Consider the following 22,668-nt stretch of genomic DNA (forward strand, 5'->3'; position numbering starts at 1 on the left):
GTGCCCCACTTCGCCTCTAAGGAAGGAACATGATAAACTTTGGCAACATGAAGTTCTGGGTTGTGTGTCCTTAGGCAAGTTCAAAGAAGGTATTTAAATCCTCACTTTGCTTATCTGTAGAATGGGGACGGTCTCCAGCTGGCAGCACTGTTGTGAAGAAGCAAGTAATGACAGCTGCCCCGTAGAGAGAGCTGACATGTTTTGGGCAGTGTCTAACCACTCCGTTTAATCATCACAGTGACTCCAGACTCAGGTCCTATGATCATCTCCATTTTCAGATGAAGAAACAGACACCCCGGGAGGTGGAGTCACATGGCTAGAAACTAAAGCCAACGAACATAACCCACAGGGACAGGTCCTGGCACATAGTAGGTTCAAAGCGGACATTGGCTGTCTTCTCCTAGGAAGATAAATAGAGGGGATTCTGTCTCCTGGGAAACAAAACCTGGGAGAAAGGTAAATTTAGAAAAACGAAACCAGGTTAGCGCAAGCCCCTTATCCAGCTCGGCAGCACAGTCAGGATGGGAAATTGGCTTCAGACACAACAAAAACTAGAAGGGGAAGTCTCGACATTTGTGAAATGAGAGAGCAGGGGTAGGGGAGGCCAGGGCCCTGGACTCTGAGGAGGGATCTGCTCTTCCCTACCCAGGGCTTGAAGGGCTGCACGAGGGGGGACGCCACCAGCAGAGGCTGGGGCAGGGCCGGTTCCAGGCCCAGACGGGGTGAGGGAGTCCCACACCTGAGACAGATGGCCTTGCCCCATCTGGGAATCCCTGGAGGTTGTGCCGAGTCCCTAGCAGTGACAGGAAACACAGGCAGATGACAAGCTGCCAAGGTGCAGGGATCACATTTCCTAGCTGATGCTTCCGCCCCATCTCCTAGGGCCCTTTCTCTCCCAGGAAACTGGTGGACACTCATCCTCCAGTTCCCACCTCCCCCTGCAGAAGGCTCCTGTCCCCGCGTCCCCCCTTCCTGCCCCCGCCAGCGCATCTCGTTTAGCACCGCTAAATGGCAAGCCCAGAGGTACAATGTCGGAAGGGGCTGGGGTAATGAACTCCCATTGGCTTCCTTCACGAGATCACTGCCTTAATTTACGAGGCCTGAGTGAGTCTCATTTCCCCAGTGCACGTTGAGTAATTAACTATTAATAAAAGCATTACTGAGTTAACCATGGGGGCATGTTTAATTCATGGGGCAGCCCAGGAACAGGATGGGAGGCTTGGGCTCAGTGGGGGATTCCTCGCAAAGCAAAATATTGCCAGCAGGATGCCGCCAGGCCCTGGGCCCCCTACAGTGGGCCACCTTTTCTGTCCCTAGCCAGAGTAACCTAATCTCAGGAGGGTAGTGAGGCTGCCTGCCATCCCAACCACAGGGCTGCTGAGCTCTGGGAGGTGTAAGCCCCTGCTGGGCTATAGGGCTGTCTGCTTGGTGGCTAAAGAGCTGAGTGACCTTGGGCAAGTCACTTGGCCTCTCTGAGCCTGTTTCATATCTGGAAAGCAGGGCTGTTCAGAACCAACAGCTTCCCAGGGTGGATTGCAGGACTAAGGAGCTCAAGCATGGAAAAGGATGTGGTAAATGACCCAATGCTCTTTACTCGCATGAAATTATTTTAGGACCTCCCTCTTCCCCCTCCTCATGCTAGAGATACCACTGTTGACTGTTAGGGGGCGGGGAGAGGATCTACTTACTTGTTCAAAATAACATGATGGAACAATCCTATCAGGATACCTCCTCTTTTCAAAGATGGATCAGTAGCCCCGCTCCCCCTCCTCTTTCCCCATGTGCACCTCTGGCCAGCCACGGGTGAACAAATTGTTACAGCAGCCAAACACACCAACCTCAAGCTCACGCACATCTCTGCACCTTCGCATCTGCTTTCCCCTTGCAAGGTACGCCTCTTTTGTCTGCTTAGCAAACTTCTATTTAGTCTTCAAGACTCAATTCAAAAGGGTCAGCTCTTCCTGGAAGTCTGCTCTCCTCCTGACCCAGACGGTTGCTCCCTTTCCTGTGGCTCCCATACATTCAACTATTATGGCATCTGTCCATCCACCATCCATCCATCATCCATCTACCCATCCATCCACCTATCCATCTACCATCCATTCATCCATCATCCATCCATCCATCCATCCACCCACCCATTCATCCATCCATCATATATCTACCCATCCATCCATCAACCTATCCATCTATCCATCCATTATCCATCTCTCCATCCATCCATCCATCCATCCTTCATCCATCTACCCCTCCATCCATCTACCTAACTGTCCATCCACCCATCCAGCCATCCACCAACCCATCCATCGATTATCCATCCATCCGTCCTTTTATATTTGTTGAACAACTACCATGTACATCTCTGATCACACGGTTTTGAATGAGTCTGGCTTTCCATAGACCAATGATTCTTAATCTTTTGGGGGTCAAGGACACTGTCTCCCAGAAAAACATGTAAATGCACACACATGCTGGATGCTGCTTTCCTCTTCAGAGATCCCTGGTCATCCCTGAAGCCAGACTGTGGACCCTGGTTGTGGTAGACACTGTGATGTGGTGTTCAGGTCTCCGGTTGGGAGTGAAGGACTTATTTCCTCAGTTGCTGGGAGTCCGGCAGTCATCCTTCTTTGGGGTTTGTCTTGAAGAAACTGCCTTACCCAAAGTCACATCTCCTTCCAGGGGCAGGCTCACTTCCAATGACAGGTCAATGCTGTGGTGTAAGGCCATGAGCCTCTCACCCCAACTCGGGACAACTCTGAAAGGTATCTCAGCTTTAGAGTTCCCCATGGGGTTGGCTGAGGCTTTTGGTAGGACTGCCTTGAAGCTCAACTTCCCCTCTGCCCTAACCTGCCGCCTTCTCCTTTCCACAGGTAATTTTTCCAAGACCACTTTCTAATAAATGTCCTGCACTCTAATCTCCATCTCTGAATCTAATTCCCAGGGAATCCACTGGATTAAAAAGCCCTGCAGAAGCCAGGCATGGTGGCACAAGCCTGCAGTCCCAGCAACTCAGGAGGCTAAGGTGGGAGGATCACTTGAGCCCAGGAGGTCAAGGTAGCAGTAAGCTATGATTGTGCCACTGCACTCCACCCTGGAAGACAGAGGAAGACCCCATCTCTAATAAATAAAATAAAATAAAATAAAATAAAATAAAATAAAATAAAAAGCCCTACAGAAGTTCCTTGAGGACAGAGACCATGTTTTAATGACTTCGATATCTCCAGCAGCGATCACCGGCCAGGGCACATTGTAGACTGTCCAGAAACACTGATGGAATGCATTTGAATGCATTTTCCTCTGGTTCTATGTTCTGTCCTTCTGTTGTTCCCCAGCAGGAGAGTTCTCATCTGACATCCAGAAGAGGACGGCCCCACCAGCAGGATGGTGGTGGGACTGGGAGATGCTGGCCTGTTTCTGGGAAGTATGTTAGTTGCCAACGAAACTAAATAACCATGGGAACAGACGTTAAGCTAATTGGTTACTACAAAGCAGGGGTGAAGGGACGTGGCTGATGTCAGGGCTGTGCAGTTAGGGTGAAAACTCCATGGGATGGCTGGGAGACCGGAGGCTGGCAGGAATGGGCGGTGGTGGGAGGGAGCAGCCCCTTCTTACAGGGCAAGTCATTTGGAAGTTAGAACCTGTAAAATCCCCACTTTAGTTTCCGCTAGTGGAAATTCCTTCAAAAAACAAGCATCTGGGCCGGGTGCGATGGCTCACACCTGTAATCCCAGCACTTTGGGAGGTCAAGGCAGGTGGATTACCTGAGGTCAGGAGTTCAAGACCGGCCTGGCCAACATGTACTGAAATACAAAAATACAAAATACTAAAAATACAAAAAATGCTGTGGCGTAAAGCCATGAACCTCTCACCCCAACTTGGGACAACTCTGAAAGGCATCTCAGCTTTAGAGCTCCCTGTACTAAACATACAAAAAATTAGCCAGGCATGGTGGTGGGTGCCTGTAATCCCAGCTACTTGGGAAGCTGAGACAGGAGAATCACTTGAACCCGGGAGGTGGAGGTTGCAGCGAGCCAAGATCGTGCCATTGCACTCCAGCCTGGGCAATAAGAGCAAAAACTCCATGTCAAAAAAAAAAAAAAAAAAGCATCTGTTAAGTGCATGCTCAGTACCAGACACTGCAGCAGAGATGGGGATCTTGGAAGGCCAGAGCTCCAACGCTGGCTCCTCCTCTCATCTGGGCGAGTTATGTGACGTCCTTCCTGCTCCATTTCCTGAGTGGTGATGACTATGAGCCGAGCACTGTGTGCTTTACCTACATTATTTTATTTCACCTTCACAGTAGCTTCCTTCAGGTGTATGTATTATTATTCCTTCTGTAGAGACAAGGAAACAGGCTCGGAGAAGATCAGCAACGTGTCCAAAAGCACGCAGCTAATCACAGCAAAGAGAGACACGTCTCTCACTCTACGGCGTCTGCAGGTTGTATCCTTAGCCATCGTTATGCTTAACCACTTGGAACTTAGTTTCCACAGCTAGGAAAGAAATACAATCAGTCCTTACTGCACCGGGCTGTTACAGATTAAATAACCTATGGCAAAGGCCTAGATGGTGCCCAGTGAACGGTCTTTTCTGTTCTTTCTTCCCCATTCCCCAGCCCACTGCCTCATCACTTTCCTGGGCTGGGAGGAAGGCTGACTCCAAAAATGAATGTCTCTGTCCCCAAGTCCGGCAGTGTCTGCCATGTAGCCAGTACTCACTGAATGCTGTCGACCTAAATGGATGGCCTGGGAGTCCCCACCCTCAGTCCATCACTAGTGTGTGATGCAGGAAGCTGCAGCAAGTACCATGAGGAGAATTCTCTTGGTGCCATGTAACTACTCTCAAGCCACTGGGATTTTCAGGTTTTTCACAGCAGGATAAAGCAGAAACAGATGGAGACAATCCCTTGAGCCCTCAAGGCAGAAAAGGGTACCGGAGTGAAGATGAAGGTATGCCGGGCCCTGCCTGATGGCTCAGGTCCCTCCCACAGGCAAACTGCAGCCCATTCTCACCGCCACCACAACACCAACTGTGGACGTCCTCACATATTGGAGCCATTAACCTTCCTTCCACTGTGGGCCCCTGGGAGAGGTGGTGGGCAGGTAAGCACTTGAAACTCGAACCTGCAGGTCAGTCCTCTCTCCGCCCCTTCTGCAGAAGCCTCGGAGCTGGGGCTGTGTGGGGACAGACACCACAGCCTTGGAGAGACAAGTCACATCCTCAGCTTCCCCTCAACCTGTGCAAGCACCGCGTTGCCATGGTGATGCTGCAGCCCTGAGATGCAATGGCTGCAGACAGCATGGGTGGTTCTAGGGCTCAATGCCGAGGTGGACGCTGTCTGGCCTGGGAGGCCAGGCGATTGGGTGGGCTGGGTGGGGGAGGAGAGGGAGCCCTCCTTTAGGTTCAGCTGGTAATTGCTGCTAAATGAAGGGCTGTCATTGAACCCAACATGTGCGAGGTAAGGGCCCCCGCTCTGCACCTTGTAATTACTGCACCAGACAGCAACGCTTGCTCCCTGTGCTGGGAGGCGGGCAGTGGGGGAGCAGACAGGAAGCTCTCATCCACCTGAGCCAGCGGGGCTCTGGCAGACTCCCCCTGCCGCCCAAGCAGCCTGCATCCCAAGCAGCCTCTAAGACGGAGGAGGCCCTGGCCCCCCTCCTTGGCTGGCTCTTCCCACATCATCCAGCTGGAGCACGAGCCTCCTTTAATCTTGGCCTCTGAGCTTGCGGAATCCAAGGGGGGCAGAGGTGCAGGAGCCAGATAAGAGGCCGCTTCCAAGCGCCCTTGGTGCTCCACCTCCGCCTGCTGAGTCTGTGCTGGGAATCTGAATTAGAGGCAGATCTCGGTCTGACTCCTGAGCACGGAGGCTCTGAGGGCCTCGGGCTAGTCACCGCCCCCTCCTGGCTTCAGTCTCCTGCTGCAGAAGTGGAAGTTGGACTCGAGAATTCTTGAGGGTTCTCCTGCTGGTAAACTTCAGCCAGCAAGCTGGATCCTACTTTTGTAAATGGGGTTTCACTGGGACAGCCACACCCTGGGTCTGTGTCATCTATGGCTGCTTTTGTGCTACGATGGCAGAGTAGCTGCAACAGACGCCATATGGTCCCCAAACCCCAAATATTTACTATCTGGCCCTTTACAGGAAGTTTGCAGACCCATTTTTAAAGTATTAAAGTTCTCCTGGGCTTAACCGAACGAGCTTTAGTGACTCCAACCTGATGGAAACAATTTTAGAACAAGCCCTATCCTTGTCCCCACCCATGGATACCCACTGTCCTCTTCCAAGCACCCCTTTTCTGCCGGTGTCTGGATAGCCGTGGCAGGGCAGCTGGGCTCTGGGAGCCAGTGTGGTGCAATGGCGCCACCTGCTGTGAGTGCCTAGGAGCACTTCGCCTGGAAAGCTTTGTCCCCAAGGGCCGGGGGGGTCTCCCATGGCCCGGGAACCAGTTTACAGGAGTAGACTCAGTCCACAGCACATCAGAGCTGGGGTCTTGCCCCCTCCCTTCCTCATTTGAGAGAGGCCTGCAGTCTAGAGAAGACGTGGGACTTGGCCAAGGAGGAGTGGAAAGCCCAAGCCCCAGGGGCCCATGAAGTTCCAGGAGGCTGTGTGGATGTCACGTGCAGCACGTGCACACACAGACGTACACAGACTTGGATGTGAACCTCAGCCCGGCCACTTAAGCAGCTCTTTATCTTTTCCAGGCTTTAGTCTCTTAGTTGTTAAAAGGATTAAAAGAAATGCTTATATAACATTTAATCTGTTACTAATAATGACTCAATCTTCAAAAGGACTCTGAGATAGACATTATCCCCATTTCACAGATTAAAAAACTACGGCACAGACAGGTTAGGTCATTTGCTTAGGGTCACACAGCTAGTGACAAAGCCAGTATTCAAACTAGGCTGTGAAAACATGTAAGGTCTCCAGAATGCAGTACTCAGTAAACATTCATTTATTTCCTGCCAGCAGGTGCAGTGGGGCCCCACTGGGGAGGGGACTGGTGTTCTAACAGGAGCGAGAAAATGAAGGAGGCCTGGCTTAAGACCAGACATTTGAAGAAGGCTCCAGGCAGGGAAAGGAAAGGAGAGGCCAGGCCCACACTGTCCCCTCCCTGCCCCCACGTCTCCAGCAACACAAGGCGGCCAGTGGACCGTGAACCATTTATTTCCAAACTATAAAGAAACCTGCTCTCTGAGAAAAGACACTGCCCAGGTGATGAAGCTCCAGCCCCTGGAGGTCCAAAACCCAGTCCAAACTCAGTCCCTTTAGAAAGCTGCTGTGCCTTGGAAATGAGTCTCGGCTGTCAGAGCCTGGGAAGTGGTGGGAAGAACCAGCCCACTCCCCTCTCCTGCTGCGATTCCAGCGCAGCTTGGGCCCAGCTCTGGCCAGTCCCAGGCTGGCCTGGTGCTCGCCCCTTGTGTGACCAGGCTCTGAAGGGAGGGGCAAAAGTCATGAGTCCCTGGCTTGGCCCCACCACCTGGTGACTCCCGTCCACAGCTCCCAGCTACCATGATGAGCCCTGGCGGCTTGAGCACAGTGAGTGCTGGCAGCAGGCTGGGGAGTGGCCTGCTTCTAAGCCATTTGCCCTGGCTGGTCACTGCTGCCCCTGGGCCACAAAGTACTCCTCCTCCTCATTGTCACCTTCCTCCCGCTGGCTGCTCCGGAGCAGCAGCTCCAGGTCGGGGCTGGAGCCCAGCCCCTTCAAGGCCTTGGGGCCACCATCACCTTGGGATAGAGAGAGACCACAGTTACAGGCCCAGTCGTGGTTTTCTTGGTTTGCTCTGATTTGCATGTGTGCTGAGTCACCCAGGCCCCACCCACCCACTCTGGAGATGACCCCCACATCTTCCTAGAGGAGTGACGGCAGCAGAGCCACCGGGCACACTTCCTGCATCAGAATCACTAAGAGTCACAGGGAGAAGAACAGAAAACAGAGGCTTCTGGAAGGGACTCTGGGTTACCTCTGGAATGCAGGGCTTTGAGGGCAACGTGGAGGGATATTCCCGAGAGGCAGAGGGCGAAGCCCAGCCAGTTCAGGAGGCTGATCTGATCGCCCAGCAGATGAGCTGCCAACAGCAAAGTGCAGACTTCCTGGGGGCAGAGAAGCAGGAGGGAGCATGATCAACAGGCAGATTTGGCTGCTTGACCAGGAGGGTGGAAGGTGGGGGCACTAGGTACACTCAGGTGGGCAGATCAAGATCTTACTGAAATCCTGGGCCCAGGCAGGCAGAGAGGTCAGGGGACCCGGCCGGCTTGCGGCGCTGTCCCGCCAGCCTCCTTTTGTGAGATGCAACAAAGGAGGTGCTTGTCATGGAATTCTGTCAGGAATAAAAGAGGCAAACCAGATCCCAGGCTGGGGACCAGGGTGTCCAGATCGCGCCTTATCCACAAGGATAAAGGACGGCTGCCCCAGAAGGCAGCCACAGAAGAGAGCCCTGAGCCTATGTGTGAGAATGCTGTGTTACCCCGGACTGAAGACACAACTGGTCCCGGGGCTCTCTATAAACAGAGACTCCAAACAGGACTGGCAAGGCCGTTCATCCAAGAACCACAGCCATGCCTCAGCATGCGGCTGGCCACCAGAAGACCCTTGGACAGGCCTGCATTTCTGGGTTTAGGCAACACTGCTTCAACACTGGTGTGTGCCTGGCCAAAGAGAAAAGTCCCTCCCTGCCCCTGAACAGGGAGGACTGTTGAAATGTGTGGGAGGGAGAAGGAGAAGTGAGAAGAGGTATGAGAGGGAAGGACAGGCCTGCGAGGCAGAGGTACAGCAAGGCTGGCCACAGGGGTGCTTTCTCAGGGTCTCACTAGCCCTGGCCATGGCCTTGGAGGACACCGCCAGTCAATCACGGAACTCTTTCCTGATGAGTCTGGATAGGGGCTGTTCAACCTGTGGCTCCAGGCCACTGCCCAGTGCCAGAGTTGGCAGTCAAGGTAAAATGTGAATGCATTCCAGGCCTAGCAGAGTCAGAGCTGGCTTTGAGGCCCCTGCTGTGCCCTTGGGGAGGGGCGGCTCTCCATCTGTGTCCCTGTCTGTGGGATGGGAGTGATCATACCCTCTCACAGGGCTGTGGTCAAGGCAGAAGGAGGGGCCAGCACAGCACTCAGCAAAGTGCCTGGCACCTAATGGGGCACTTCCTTCTCTTCTCTGCAGGGCCCTGGGGTGCAGGAGCTGGGACTGAAGCTGCTGGTGAGAAACCCCTGGGGGCTCCCTCTCTAAGACAGGACTGGCATCACGCCCGAGTCTGTACCTTAAAAATGCCGGCAATGGAGAGAGTGAGGCTGGAGGTTCTGGAGACCAGGAGGAACTCAGAGAAGCCCAAACCAAAGGCGAGAATCCCGCCAAGGAAGAGGCTCCCAAGTACCCGCAGGAGCAGCCCTGTGTCCTGGAAACGGAAGATTTTCTCAGATGTGGACAAATGGAGACCTGAAAGCAACAGGGAGAGAGAGTGGGAGGCCGGGTCCTGGGCTGCCTTGGCCAGCCCAATGCCAACCACACAAGATCTTCCACTGTAGTAGTGAGTTCTTACTGAGACCTGCTAACTGTCTGCAGCCCAGAGAAAAAGCATGGAAGGTATAAAGTGATCCCACACAGATGGCCTGAGACCTGGGGAAACCAGGGAAGCAGTGATGGCTGCCAGAGCGCCTGGGGGCAATACAAGCCAGATCCTAGCAGGATGATGCGGATCCTAGCGGGATGATGGGACCCTAGCGGGATGATGGGGATCCTAGCAGGATGATGGGATCCTAGCGGGATGATGGGGATCCTAGCGGGATGATGGGATCCTAGCGGGATGATGATGGGATCCTAGCGGGATGACGATGGGATCCTAGCGGGATGACGATGGGATCCTAGCGGGATGACGATGGGATCCTAGTGGAATGATGGGGATCCTAGTGGGATGATGATGGGATCCTAGCGGGATGAAGGAGATCCCAGTGGGATGAAGGAGATCCTAGCGGGATGATGGAGATCCTAGTGGGATGATGGGGATCCTAGCGGAATGATGGGGAGGGCTCGTCTGAGCCTCTGGGGTGAAGTAGAGGGGGGTGGCCCTGCATGGAAAGACGGATGGAAGTGCCCTGCACCTTTGGACAGTATTCCCTTACTGGTCTGTGGGGAGGGGCTCATGGCTGCTGACTTCATGGGGTCTTTGGAGCTGTGGTAACTACTGGGCTAAAGAAGGTAGGGCGGCTACCAAGTGACGAAGGACCAACAGTGCCCCAGCCCACTCAGGGAACTCCTTGGTCTACATTTCAGCCAGTTCACCTACAAACAGGGACAAAATTCTATCCCTACAAACGTTCATTTTAATCTAGGTCTTGCTAGTACAGAGCTGTGGGACTTGGGCTGAGATGTGTCCCCTTTCTGGACCTCAGTTTCCTTACTGATAAAATGAGAGGCCTGGGACCAGACTGGTATTTCTCCAACCCGTGGTATCACTTGATGAACATTTCCCAAAAAGAAAATGCAAACACATGGCCCCTTGCTCCAGAAACACAGGCATGCACACCCCCTACCCCAAATTCAGCTTAGACTTTCGGAGGAGTCATGGTCCCTCCAACACTGTCCATCTGGAAGAATGACTCCCGGCGTCCCTCCCACACGAAAGTCCTCGTGGTGTATTAGCACAGGGTGAAGGGGGGCCCAGAACTGGGCACAAGAGACAACTGTGGTAGCTGGAAGCTGGACGAGTATTTTGAGATTTTTGGAGGGAAGCACCAAAGAAATGCCGAGTGACAGTCCCCCCAGGCAAAACAGCCTCACAGTGTAGGACATCTTGTTTGGTGCTGGGCTCAGCAGAACTGCAAAGGCGTCGGCAAATTGAAGGGAATTCGGGGAAGAGCAGCATAAGTAATGAAGGCGCTTGGGGGATTAATTTACCAGAAAAGATTAAAGGAGCTAAATCCATGCAGCTTTGCCAAGTGACGACTACCAGGGGCTTTCAGATGAGGTTTTGCAGAGATGGGGCATGGTGTAAACACACGGGAGGGGAGGGAGAGTGTGGCGTTTGGTACAAGGGGGCATAATGAAGGAGTGGGGAGAGATTTTAAAGAAGGAAAAAAAACGAGGCCCTGAACAGAAGTTTCCTGGACAACGGGGCTTCAGAATAATTTTCTTGGGGAGGTTCAAGACGCTTCACTGCTTGAAACTTAAATGGATGTGGGACAGAATTTTCTGTAATGACCCTGAGGGCATTACAGACGGGACTCTGGGAGGAAGGATAAACAGAAAGGGGACAAAGGCTAATCCCAAAACATCAAAGAAAGGAAGGTGGCGTCACACCTCCCAGCCTACACAGTTCTCCAGGGCTCTCCTCATCCCTGGAGGACGACAGTGGAGGAACAACTGACCATGTCCCCAGGCTCCTGTGTGCTGGCTCCTGGTCTTCAGCCCCCAGCTCTGGAAGCCCACCCTCTGCTGATCCTGCGTGGCCCACACTCCTTGAACACACATCCCCAGGTTATATTCCTGGACATGGCTGAACCTCCTATTCCTACTTCCGAGATGCCTTGCTCCCTGCAGCCTGCCAAAATCCCACTCACCCTCCAAACCACGGCCTGGGAAGCCTTTCTGACTTGCCTGATTACTCCAGCATCTTGGAACAATCCCTGATTCCCCATTCCTTAGAGGCAAGATAGGGTGGTTAAGAGTAGGGCTGGACCACTTGGAGCCAGGCTGCTGGCTTCAAATTCTGGCTCATTTACGAGCTATGGGACCTTGGGCAAGTTATCTTTACTTCTCTGGGCCTCATTTTGTTCTACCTGCAAAATGGGGGATAATAATAGTACTGCCACACCAGGTTTTTGGAAGGATGAAATGAGTTCCTATGTTTAAAAAGATCAGAACAGCCCTGGTGCACTTTCAGGGCTCTGTGCACACTTACTGTTACTGTTCCCTGAATTTTATATGTGCTTTCTCTGTAGCGTTTATCATGCTGGACCCCAAACCATGCGCTTCCAGGGGAGGGACTGCATCTTTGATCTCAATAATCTCTGCAGCTACCACTGTGTTGGGCTCAGGGCGAGGATCTGTGGTCTGCTGCACTGAGGTGCCCTTGAGAGGGAAGGCCCAACGTACCTTCAAATACAGCAAAGAGAGGGAAGAGCCCCAGGAACATGAGTGGCTGCAGGTGGAACATGGTGTCGATGGGATTCTGGAGGCCTGCAGGGCGGGGGACAGGCACCATCAGGTCTGGTCCGGCCCTGCCCTGCCTCCGCCCTGCCTGTGCCGGGGTTCCTCTCTCTGGAGGATGAGTGGCACGTGCTCACCGAGTTCAGCCTTCTGCAGGAGCATCTGGGTGAGGGTCCAGCGAATGCCACCGATGAACGAGGCCCCCAGCACCAAGGCGAAGCCCTCCACGTTGAACTGTGTGGACTTGTAGGTGAACATGAAGAGACCCCCGGCGATGAGGAGGACCACCAGGACCAGTGCCGCGCGCTGGTAGGATGGGGAGCAGTGGCAGCTAACTCGGGGGTCTTGAGGGTCAAGGGTTCATCACATTTGGAGCCTGGGGTCAGCAGCCATCTTGGCTGCCCCTGGGGCAAGAAATCCTTCCACCCTTCAGCTCCATCCCAGGGGGTCCTGGACAGTCCTTGCCCACCAATGTCAGCATGTAGGGCTGACGGTCAGCTGGTATGCCAACAGCCCTGCTTGCTCTGCCACACTGACGGCTGTCCTAGGCCCCCAAGTGGTCCCACCTCCTCCCTGGGCCTAACACACAGGGCTACTGCCTCCCACAGCAGGGTGCTTCCTAGACCCAGCTCTGCTGGGACCCTCATCCTGCAGTGCTTTCACCTTTGGTCATTACCCTGCCACACTGGTTTCTAAATATTCTGAGTATTGCCCATGTCTAGGTCCCTTCTCAGAAAGGGATCTACTGCCACCTGGACTGGGCTTGTCTCCTCTGTCACACAGCAGGACAAGCCACTGCTCAGACTCCCACTTTATTCTTAGCATCTGTGGGGGCAGGAAGGACACAAGAGACGCTGGGGCCTCACCAGCTCCTCCAGCTTGAAGATCAGAGAGAAGATCAAGATGAAGAGGACAGCTGAGGATTTGGTCATTGTGTACCTGGAAGCAAAATTACCCACAATGCACTGCTGGAGCTCAGGGCTCAGACCCATCACCGAGAAAGGAGCAGGAGCACAAATCACTGAGCGAAATGACCAAACAGAGCTGGGCTGTCATCTGAGTGATAAGCGACCTTTAATCAGAAGGAATCTCTGACTAAGAGGCCTCTGGTTATCACCAGAGAGAAGAGGTTACAGGTCTGACGTTGAGCTCCCTGAGTCCTGTTCTTTACCTAACCCTCGGCAGAGCCCAGGAGCGGGAAGGAAGGATGAGAAGTAGGAGGACAAGAAGGCAGGAACAGTGCTCTCTGAAGCAAAACATCAGAGGGAAGAAGAAACTCTTGTGTAGCCCCCAGGCCACATAGGGCTCTGCTGCGGCTGCGTGTACCACCCACCAGTGGCCACCTGTCTGTGGCCTTGCAGCCTGCCTTCCCCTGCTCTGATGATGGGGTTCTGGGAGAGCTCCCTGGCTTCCCCACGCTGCCTGGCAGGTGGGCACAGCATCTCCTCTGCGCTGGGCTTACGGAAGAGGCTGGCGACTTCCCGGAGAGCTGCTGGGTGCCAGGGAGAGGCTGAGAGAGCAAGGGCTGGTCCCAGAGTGGTGGAGTGGCTGGCCTAGCAGCCGGGTGTGCAGACACCCCGCTGGACAGACAGACAGCTTCAGCCTGAAGGGAGGCAGCAGGGCATGGCCAGTACTCACAGCGAGACGGTGACATACAGGAAGCTCCAGTTGGACAAGCCCACGTCAAGCGCCGTCGCCAGAGCTGTGAAGACACAGGCACCCACAGGACAGCTTGGGAGGTCCACACTCTGCTGGGGTGGGCTGGTACCCTGAGGCACCTGAGTGTCCCCCACTTCTGAACCATCCCGGTGCCTCCTGTGGGGCCCTTGGGCCTTCTTTTCCACCAGCAACTAAAGGGTTAATATCTGGCCCCCAAAGGTCGGGGGCTGCTCTAGCATTAGGGCTGGGGCCCATTCCAACTGGCTGGGCCGGTATGGTTTCCACAAACACTCCGGCGAGCCCCCTGAGCGGAGGTATTAACCTGATCTGGTTGATCCCTTACTGGAAACCCTTTTCCCTCAGGATGGAACACAAACTCCTCCACGGGGAATCCGGCCTCCAGGACATGACCCCTGCCCACCCTCTCAGTTCTCATTTTTCCCACTTCCTCTGGCCAGCACCGGGTTCTCAGTATCCTGAAACACTTTGAGTTCCCTTCCAGACCCCACAGCTGGCACTAAATCTCCCTCGGGCCACGAGGGCCCCTCCTCCCAGGGCCAACCAGTCCCACGCATCCTTCAGGGCTCTGCCTACTTGGCACCTGGCCTAGGAAATCTTCCTCTACCAGCCATGGGCCCCGGCCTTGGGTTGGTCCCCTCCCTGGGCTCCGTAGTGCCCTCCATGTCCGTGTCACAGCCCTGCGAGGGCAGGGACCCTGCCTGCTCACCACTTATCTCCAGGCCTGAGGGCTGCACTCCAGGCTCGGTGTCTGCTGGCAGGAGAGGGAGCTGCGGGGCCGCAGGTGCAGGGGGGGTTTTGTGGGTGTGTGGTGGGGCAGTGGGAAGGCACGCAGTGCACAAGAGGCAGCAGCGTGGGTGGTGGGAGGCCAGGTCAAGAGGGCAGAGGAGGAACAGTGCAGGAAGAGGGGAGGGACTTGGCTTCCAGACATGCGGGTGTCTCTCTTGTTCTCATCCTATGGTTCCCCAGCCCCTCTTCCTGCTCTGCCCTCACTGAGGTCCCCCACCTACCTGTGGGAGCCACTCTTCTGAGGTAGTCGGCCCAGCTCAGCACCACACGGGCCCTGTGGCTGGAGCACTGAACCAGCGCCCTGGACAGGGCGGAGAAGAGGAAGATCACGGCCAGGTGCAGCATCGTCATGAAGAGGGGGAAATGGAAGCTCTGTATGGAGCCCAAAGCAGACACCCCGGCTTGGTTTAGACAGCCTGCCCCCCACCGGCTCCCTCTTCCTCTTCGCCCCTCTGCTGGAGTGGGGCTCATTCGGTGGTTCATGAGGACCTTGCTATGTGTGTAGGGCCCTTAGTTACGGTATCATCGCTTGGAATGACAGACTCTTAGGTCACGAAGACAGGTGGCAGCCAAGAGACTCAATCCTAGCCTGGTGCTGTCTCCACCATTTCAACACACCTGTGAGCTACCTGCCCAGCCTTCCTCACGGCCTATGCCCAAGTGAGAGCCACTGCGGCCCACTACGTTGTATCACTTATTAAAATATTGAAATACTTCTCTAGTGGGGTAAATAGCTGCTGCTTGAGCCCCAGTTTCCCCAGCTCATCCCTTCACACCCCCCGCTCTCCTTGGTTTCCCTGGATCCAAACACTGAAGGGGAACCCTGGCACGGCAGGCTTGGAGGGCCCTGTTCCAGCCCAGCCGTGACTGGCTTCCAGTTAGACTGGTTGAAGCTTGTGCCTTCCTGTTAAACATGAAGGGCACCGTAGCCATGGCTCTGGCCACCTTCATCCCAGCACCCCGCCCCAGCAAGGCCTCCTGGTACCTTTGTCAGCCACTTGTTGTAGAAGGTGATGCCGATGGAGAAGCAGTAGTAGAGAAGCACCAGCCCCAGGGTCAACACCGCCTTCCACAAAAAGGCCACATCGAGGGCCCACCTCCCCATTCGTGGCGGCTGCAGCACCGGAGCTCCTGAGTCAGCGGGGGCAGGCACCCCTCTTGAATACAATGTGCAGGAAGAGCCGGTGGAGTTAGACCACAGCTTTCACCAAGAACGTCTCCAGGCTGGAGGAGCTCTCTGCAGCTCCATGATTCGGAACCATCAGCAGAGCCCCAGGCAGAGTCCTCACCTAAGGGGCTGGTGGCTGGTGCTGACCCTTCCCATGGTTAATTGGATGCAGCGCTCACAGGTCCCAAGGTCTGCTGCTGGGGAAAAAGGGCCGCTCTGGAGCCTCAGGCAGAGACTGTGCTTCTCGTAGCCATGGGTGCCTCTGAAGGCTGCGTGACTCAGGGCTCTGGAGGGGCTGCCCACAACGGCACAGGCAGTCCCAGAGACCCACGTCGTGTCTGCTGTCTTGTCACCTCAAGCTATTCTCCATGAACTGCCACCAAAGTGACCTTTTAAAACACAAACTGATCATGTCAGGCCACTGCTTAAAACCCTTCAGCAGCTTCCAGTGCTTTTCTGATAAAGACCAGCACCCTTCTTTCGGCTCCCATGGCCTCATCTGGCCCTGCTGGTCTTCCCAGTCTCAGCCACAGGCTCTCCAGGACCTGGCCCCACTGGGCGCCTTTCAGCTCCCCAAACACACCAGCTTTCTTCCCGTTGTCTGAAGGAAATGAACGAACACTGCACCCACCCTTCAGTCCTTCATCAATCCTACCTATCTTCAGCTCAGAGGTCACTTCTTCAGGGAACCCCACCCCATCCCCTGAATCAGTCCCCTGAGATACATGTTGCTTTCACGGCTCTCCTACTTCTCTTTCATAGCACTTGTGCAGGGTGTGATTTGAGTAATGTCTGTCCCCTGAGAGGCTACGAGCGGCACAAAGATAGGGACCAGTAAGACCACACTGGCCTTACGCACAGCTGGTGTACTTTAAGTTCTCCGTCTGGTTTGATGACTGACAGAGAGCAGGCATGCGATTTTCAGGGGACTGGTCTGGTCTTTAGGGGTTAAAAATGGAGAAGGAAACCAACACTCTAACGGCTGGAACACTGTAAGACCAGGCTGTAACCACTACTCCCTGGAAGCAGAGCCTGCCTTACGGTATTGCCAAATGAAACCACTCCCAGCCTCCCTGTCAATCCAGCCAACCCTGATGAGTGCCCGGAGCATGCCGGGTAGACCTGTCTGTGCCTGGAGGAGCCTCAGGTCCAGTGTTATGTGATGATACCTGCTGCTTCATCTGGGTGCCCCCCTCAACCACAGATCCTCCTTTGAGACATTCCCATCCTATTGAAACGCCACCTTCTTCTCGAAGCCTTCCTAGGCTTCACGATCAGACACATTCTCCATCTCCCACCCCAACATTTCTGAAGGGAGCAGTTACATTCCATTCTGCACTCTGGAACTCTTGTTACTATTTCCCCTCCCCGGGGCAAACAGGGAGCTGGCTGTGTCCAAATGAATCTCTGGGGCTACAGTTGTCTTCAGAGGAGCTTTGGAAACCTGTGGCGGTATTTTGGGGATATGCTCCTGGCGTTCAGTAAGCAGGGATAAAGAAGGGGCAGTCCACATAGCCAATTACTGCTCTGCATCCCGCACGACTTTGACATCCATATAGGTGAAAGATTAGCTTATAATTATCTGAACCTAGAATGTAACTCTGTTTACATGTAAACACAGTGCAGTGTTTCCATGGTTCTGCTGTGAACTAACACTTCCAAGAATAAGACGCCTATGTACAATGAAGGGAGACTGAAAATGGTCAAAATTGGTCTCAAAATGGCACCAAAAGTGTCCATTCTGGAAAAACCACATCATCTACAGCAATGGCACTAGTGGTTTTCGAGGTGCGACACAACACGGCTGTGTCAGTCTGTGTCTGTGGCCATCACACTCCTAGAGGGTCCACACAGAAGGGACAGCTTCACTGCAACTTCCAGCACTATTGTGCCCAGAAACTTACATATTGAAACATATTTTGTTTTACTATCAATTACTTTCCTTTTATGTTATAGGGCATGGTTATTTATATTTTATTTTATTTTTTTTTTGAGACGAAGTTTCGCTCCTGTTGCCCAGGCTGGAGTGCAATGGTATAATCTCGGCTCACCACAAGCTCCGCCTCCCAGGTTCAAGCGATTCTCCTGCCTCAGGCTCCCTAGTAGCTGGGACTGATTACAGGCATGCACCACCACACCCGGCTAATTTTTTATATTTTTAGTAGAGATGGGGTTTCTCCATGTTGGTCAGGCTGGTCTTGAACTCCCAACCTCAGGTGATCCGCCCGCCTTGCCTCCCAAAGTGCTGGGATTACAGGCGTGAGCCACCGCGCCCGGCTGCATTTGTTGATTTTTAAAAAATTATGTGTAGGCAGTTTTTATTAATCATATGTTTCATTTTAGGGTAATAAAAGGGACTGTTACAAAATATTTGTAATAAAAAAGAGGTGTCAGATCCAATGAGTTGAGACTCCTACCTGACCTAATGCATTCTCATTCCTTCAAATGCCTTCTGTAAGCTGATGTCTTCCCAATATATGCCCCGGCTCTGATTCATGTGAACTCCAGAAGAATATCCAATGCCTACCTAACCTCTTCTTCCCTTAGATATCTAATATCAGGCATCTCACTCACATCTAGAGTGTCTGAAACTGACTCGTGTTTTCCACACCCCCATTTCATCCAAGCCTGCTCCTCTTCCTACTTCCCATCCCAGCAAATGGCTCCACTACTCTCCTAGTTGCTCAGGCCAAAAGCCTTAGGCTCATCTGATTCCTCTCTTCCCCTTAGCCCACATTCAATCAATAAATACCGTCAGCTCTATCTTCAGAAATATCCCAAATATGAGCACATGTCCTGAACTCCACCACTACCATCTCAGCCACCATCCTCTCCCCAAATGACTGCAGGAGTCTCCTACACGGTTCTCTCTACTTCTCCTGCAACCACCACCATCAGGCTCCTCCAACAAAGAGGGCGCATGGGCCTCAAACATACGTCTACAGATCTCAAAACCCACACTGTTTCCTCTACGCCAGGGTTTCTCAACCTGGGCGTTACTGCTGTTTGGGGACAGATAATTCTTTGTGAGAAGACCCATCCTCTACATGGCAGGATGTTTAGCAACATCCCTGGCCCATACCCACCAGACACCTGTCACATCCTTCCCCCCATCCCAAGTTGTGATACCCAAGAAATGTCTCTAGACACTGCCATATGTCACCTGAGGATCAAACCTGCTCCCTGTTGAGAACCACTGCTGACCCTGTCCTGTGACAGGCACTCACAGGACATGCTGGCACTAACAGAGCTTTCTTCTGAGCACTCTTCCCTCATGGCTCCTCCTGTGGCTTCCAAGCCAGGGAAGTCTGTTCACTCTTCTGTTAACCAACTTCTTGCAGCTCCTGCTTTTGCTGCATTTCCTGCTGCAGCACTGCAACACCGCAACACCCTCCCTCCACTGTTCAAATGCTGACCTTCCTTCACAGACCTGGCCCAGTTCCCCTGCCTCCAATAAGTCCCTATGGCTACCCCGCCTACAAGAAGCACTGTCTCAAATTTAACTTATTTTCTTATTGGGATTCAGAAGGTCACCTATGCCCAAACACAAAGCCAAATCTCAGCTAGAAGGGTCCCTGGAGATCATCTAGGCACTTAATGAGCATTTATCAAGCACTCCTGTAGGCCCACCACTGGAGACACAGACGTGAAACTGAAAAGGTCCCCACCCTTATTTTATAAGGGAAACAAGATTTAAAGGAGTAAACAACTCTTTTTGAAATCTCATTTGCTCAGGAAGGAAAGTCCATATTCTGCCCCACTTTCCACAGAGAGCAGCTTAGCTGGGGGCAGCAGTCACATCAAGGTAAGGCTGGCTGGTGCATCACTGGCACACCTGCTTCCCTCCATCTTCCTAACTGTAACTTGGGCAGCATGGTTTAGTGCTTAAGAGTGTGGGCTTTGGAGTTAGACACTGAGAATCAAATCCTGGTGTCCCTACTCACTACTGTGTGACCCTAAGTTACTTGACCTCTGGACTCAGTTTCTCCAACTGTAAAGTGGCATCAGGTACAGCATTAAATGCTGGCTCATGGTAGAGGCTTACTCCCCTCCTGGTCCCCTTAACAGTGAAACTTCCCCAGAGGACCCCGCACTGCCAGTCCAACTCCTTCACCCCCTGCTCTCACTTCAGCCCATCTCCACTGCTCCAATGAGTCACCACACCCTCCTCCCTGCTGCCCCTTCGAAGGCTTAGTCTCTATTCTTTTTGTTGTTGTTGTTGTTTTGAGATGGAGTTTCAAGGCTGGAGTGCAATGGCGTGATCTCGGCTCACCGCAAACTCCGCCTCACGGGTTCAAGTGATTCTCCCGCCTCAGGCTCCCGAGGAGCTGGGAATACAGGCATGTGCCACCATGCCCGGCTAATTTTGTATTTTTAGTGGAGACAGGGTTTCTCCATGTTGGTCAGGCTGGTCTCGAACTCCCGGCCTCAGGTGATCTGCCCGCCTTGGCCTCCCAAAGTTCTGGGATTACAGGCGTGAGCCACCGTGCCGGGCCGGCTTAGTCTCTATTCTTACCTTACACAATGGATCACTTCCTCCTCCTAGAAAAAACCTTCTCTTGGGTGCCACGATACCACATTCTCCTGGTTTTTCTTCTGCTTTTCTGGACTCCTTATTGGTCTTTTTTGCTGGCACCTTCTTGTCAACTCAATCTATAAAAATTGGGTGCCTAAAGCTTGGAACCTGGCTTCTCTTCTCTCTTAAATCTTACCCTACATAATCTCATCCTACCCAATCCACTTGCCAATGATTTCTAAATTCTTTACATCAGCCCTGACCTTTTCTGTATCAGACTCATATATCTAACTGCCTATTTGGTAGCTGCACTCCAAATATCTAAAACTTAAGATGCCCTAAGAAGATTTCGTAATTATTTCTCACGCTCCCAATCTATCCCAAAGTCATTTAGTAAATGCCAGCATAATACACTTGGTTACTTAAGCCAAAACCAAAAATCTATGATGAAGTCATCTTTGACCACTTATTTCTGTCATTTCTCAAATCCTGCCCTGTCAGTTCCACTTTCAATACACTTCTTGACCCCTCTACTTCTCTTCCTCTCCATTCCCACTACCACAGTCTAAGCCACAATTATCTTTCACCTGCTGACTGCCACTGGTCTAACTGGTCTCCCTGTTTCCTCTTTCGCCCCTAAGGCCTGGAATCTATAAAGCAGCCAGAGAGATGGCACACGAAACAGATCATGCCCTAAGGCTAAGCCCAGCTCCTCAGCCTGGTCCACAAGGAAGGCCTCTGTAACCTCATTCTTCTGCCACTGGTCCCAGCACCCGCCACAGCGGCCCCCTGCCACGTGTCAAACACATCAAACCTGTGTTTTTCTTTACTTGCTGCTCTTCCTGCCTTCAGCTCCCTTCCGCAGACCTCCGCTTGGCTGAATACTTTCTCCAATGCCCCACCCCTCCCAATCCTCGTGGCACTCCCACCTCTGACGTTTCCTTGTTTGCTCACGTGTTTACTGCCCGCCCCAATCCCACCGCGGGAAGCAGCCCCTCAGAGGGCAGGGCCGTGTCCGATTCCGGCCCGGGTCCCGCACCCAGGACGTCGCAGGTGCTCAGGAAATACCAGATGAGCCGGCGTCCGGCAGGTGCCTTGCAGGAGGGCGCTTGGAGACCCCTGCCCCCTCCACAGACGGCGAAACTGAGGCCCGGGGAGGGGCAGGGGCGTGGCGTGCCCCATGTCAACCCGCGCAGATCCCGGGTGGGGAGCCCGCTTCCCTTCTCCAGCCCCGGCCCCCCAGCCTCTGGGAGTGCGCCGGGAGGCCGGCCGCACACCCACTCACCTCGGCCCTGGGAGCTCCAGGCCGGAATCTCCCCACCGGAAGTGCGAGGCCGGATGCCGCCGCCGAACCGCGGCACGGGCGGTAACTTCCGCCGGAAGCTACCCAGGGGCTGGGCGGAGCCGGGGCGAAAAGGCGGGGCGGGGCAGCACGGGGGCGGGGCGTCTGTTGTGGTCGGGTTCTGAGGTGGTCTGGTCTTTCTGAGGTACAGCGTAGTTTTGTCCTCCGCGAAGTCCCTCAGGCTCAGAGCACAGCCGTGTAATTGTCTGCGTCTCTCCCGCGCTCAATCAGGGGCTTGCTTTGGAACCCCGGTGCCTGCTAGTGTTCTGCATACAGTGAGCATCCAAAAAATGGTAACTTGTTTACTTTTACTGAACAAATTGTTTTTCTTATGTCCAGTCTAATGCTGGGCAACCATGGAATGAACCACGAAGATAAGTATCTCATGGGCTTTTTCTTCTGGGAGCTCAGGCCAGCTGGGGCCATTACAACTTAAAACTTGGGCGATCCAGAAGTAATACGAAACATTTGTGAAATATTTTCTGTATGAAACTTTCTAAGAATTATCTCAACTTCAATAGGTTGAGTAGGGAGAGAGCATCCCAGATAGAGGAAATGGGAGAATCCTAAAGGAGGGTGAGAAAGCTCCAGCCGTGCCTGGGGCTCACAGGTTGTTTGTAACTGTGGTGGTTAAAGTAGCCAAGAGGCAGGTTGCAGTGGCCCCAAAATGCCAGCCTAGGGAGTTCAGATTTTCTTCATCTTGCGGGATGGATTAAAAGGGCAGCATTTGCAGTCAAGAACATTAGGCCAGGGCAAGCTAGGGTTGCACATTCAGACCCAGTTTTGTGCCTTTCGCCCTCCTCTAGCCTCCTCCTGGGCTCTCTGGCAGTAAGACCAGCTGCAAACATGGATCCTTACAAGTGACTCAGCTGGGATCCCTGGCCCCTCTGAACAGAAGGCTCAAGGCCAGAGTGTAAGCAGTGTTTTATGCAAACTGCGGCTGTCACCGCCGCCAGCTGGCATCATGCAGGCATTAGTTCATTCAGTGCTTACCAAGCACCTACAATGGTACCCATCACTGCCCAAGGTCTTGGCTTTATTC

General features: G+C 53.4%; 1 protein-coding gene and 1 long non-coding RNA gene across 8 annotated transcripts in view, besides 7 other annotated features; one reads left to right on the forward strand and one right to left on the reverse strand.

The window, feature by feature from the left end:
- Positions 1-3,182: 3,182 nt before the first annotated feature.
- Positions 3,183-21,624, reverse strand: SLC35H1 (solute carrier family 35 member H1). 7 transcript variants are annotated; one of them, NM_001281458.2, is made up of 11 exons: positions 21,570-21,624; positions 15,890-15,962; positions 15,586-15,757; positions 14,822-14,972; positions 13,773-13,836; positions 13,001-13,073; positions 12,272-12,440; positions 12,081-12,164; positions 9,250-9,425; positions 7,960-8,089; positions 3,183-7,723 (listed from the first exon to the last, which is right to left on the reverse strand). In NM_001281458.2, the coding sequence occupies exons 2-11, from the start codon at positions 15,922-15,924 to the stop codon at positions 7,593-7,595; spliced, it is 1,185 nt and encodes a 394-aa protein (NP_001268387.1). In that variant the 5' UTR covers positions 15,925-15,962; positions 21,570-21,624; the 3' UTR covers positions 3,183-7,592. The 7 variants fall into 7 exon arrangements, with proteins under 7 accessions (NP_001268387.1, NP_001268389.1, NP_001268388.1 ...); NM_001281460.2 differs by adding an exon at positions 20,285-20,421 and having other exon boundaries at positions 15,586-16,157; NM_001281459.2 differs by having other exon boundaries at positions 12,272-12,377; positions 14,822-14,901; positions 15,586-15,962.
- Positions 8,069-8,363: a silencer, noted in NCBI's record as "tiled region #3706; K562 Repressive non-DNase unmatched - State 5:Enh". NCBI's record gives its function as "represses a minimal TATA promoter and a strong SV40 promoter by Sharpr-MPRA in K562 cells {active_cell/tissue: K562}" and the evidence as "EXISTENCE:reporter gene assay evidence [ECO:0000049][PMID:27701403]".
- Positions 8,479-9,070: an enhancer, noted in NCBI's record as "H3K27ac-H3K4me1 hESC enhancer chr20:44979919-44980510 (GRCh37/hg19 assembly coordinates)". NCBI's record gives its function as "activates a minimal SCP1, AML or CMV promoter by ChIP-STARR-seq in naive H9 embryonic stem cells {active_cell/tissue: H9 hESC(naive)}" and the evidence as "EXISTENCE:reporter gene assay evidence [ECO:0000049][PMID:30033119]".
- Positions 8,624-8,763: an enhancer, noted in NCBI's record as "active region_17969". NCBI's record gives its function as "activates an Ori minimal core promoter by ATAC-STARR-seq in GM12878 lymphoblastoid cells {active_cell/tissue: GM12878}" and the evidence as "EXISTENCE:reporter gene assay evidence [ECO:0000049][PMID:35858748]".
- Positions 8,774-8,833: an enhancer, noted in NCBI's record as "active region_17970". NCBI's record gives its function as "activates an Ori minimal core promoter by ATAC-STARR-seq in GM12878 lymphoblastoid cells {active_cell/tissue: GM12878}" and the evidence as "EXISTENCE:reporter gene assay evidence [ECO:0000049][PMID:35858748]".
- Positions 9,071-9,661: an enhancer, noted in NCBI's record as "H3K27ac-H3K4me1 hESC enhancer chr20:44980511-44981101 (GRCh37/hg19 assembly coordinates)". NCBI's record gives its function as "activates a minimal SCP1, AML or CMV promoter by ChIP-STARR-seq in naive H9 embryonic stem cells {active_cell/tissue: H9 hESC(naive)}" and the evidence as "EXISTENCE:reporter gene assay evidence [ECO:0000049][PMID:30033119]".
- Positions 13,749-14,248: an enhancer, noted in NCBI's record as "H3K4me1 hESC enhancer chr20:44985189-44985688 (GRCh37/hg19 assembly coordinates)". NCBI's record gives its function as "activates a minimal SCP1, AML or CMV promoter by ChIP-STARR-seq in primed H9 embryonic stem cells {active_cell/tissue: H9 hESC(primed)}" and the evidence as "EXISTENCE:reporter gene assay evidence [ECO:0000049][PMID:30033119]".
- Positions 21,345-21,764: a silencer, noted in NCBI's record as "silent region_12974". NCBI's record gives its function as "represses an Ori minimal core promoter by ATAC-STARR-seq in GM12878 lymphoblastoid cells {active_cell/tissue: GM12878}" and the evidence as "EXISTENCE:reporter gene assay evidence [ECO:0000049][PMID:35858748]".
- Positions 21,738-22,668, forward strand: part of LOC124904917 (uncharacterized) — a 33,481-nt gene continuing 32,550 nt past the window's right edge. The window contains exon 1 of the long non-coding RNA XR_007067614.1: positions 21,738-21,919. This is a non-coding gene — a long non-coding RNA (uncharacterized LOC124904917). The remainder of the gene's footprint in view (positions 21,920-22,668) is intronic.

The sequence above is a fragment of the Homo sapiens genome, chromosome 20 (assembly GCF_000001405.40).
Source record: "Homo sapiens chromosome 20, GRCh38.p14 Primary Assembly".
NCBI classification, from domain to species: Eukaryota; Metazoa; Chordata; class Mammalia; order Primates; family Hominidae; genus Homo; species Homo sapiens.

Excerpts from the sequence above, each read along its gene's own strand:
- SLC35H1 (NM_001281458.2), bottom strand. The coding sequence starts at position 15,924 with ATGGGAAGGGTCAGCACCAGCCACCAGCCCCTTAG. Across the intron at positions 15,758-15,889 it reads ACCAGCCACCAGCCCCTTAG|AGGGGTGCCTGCCCCCGCTG; the intron begins GTGAGGACTCTG and ends ATTGTATTCAAG. Across the intron at positions 9,426-12,080 it reads TCTCTTTGCTGTATTTGAAG|GTCTCCATTTGTCCACATCT; the intron begins GTACGTTGGGCC and ends TGTTGCTTTCAG.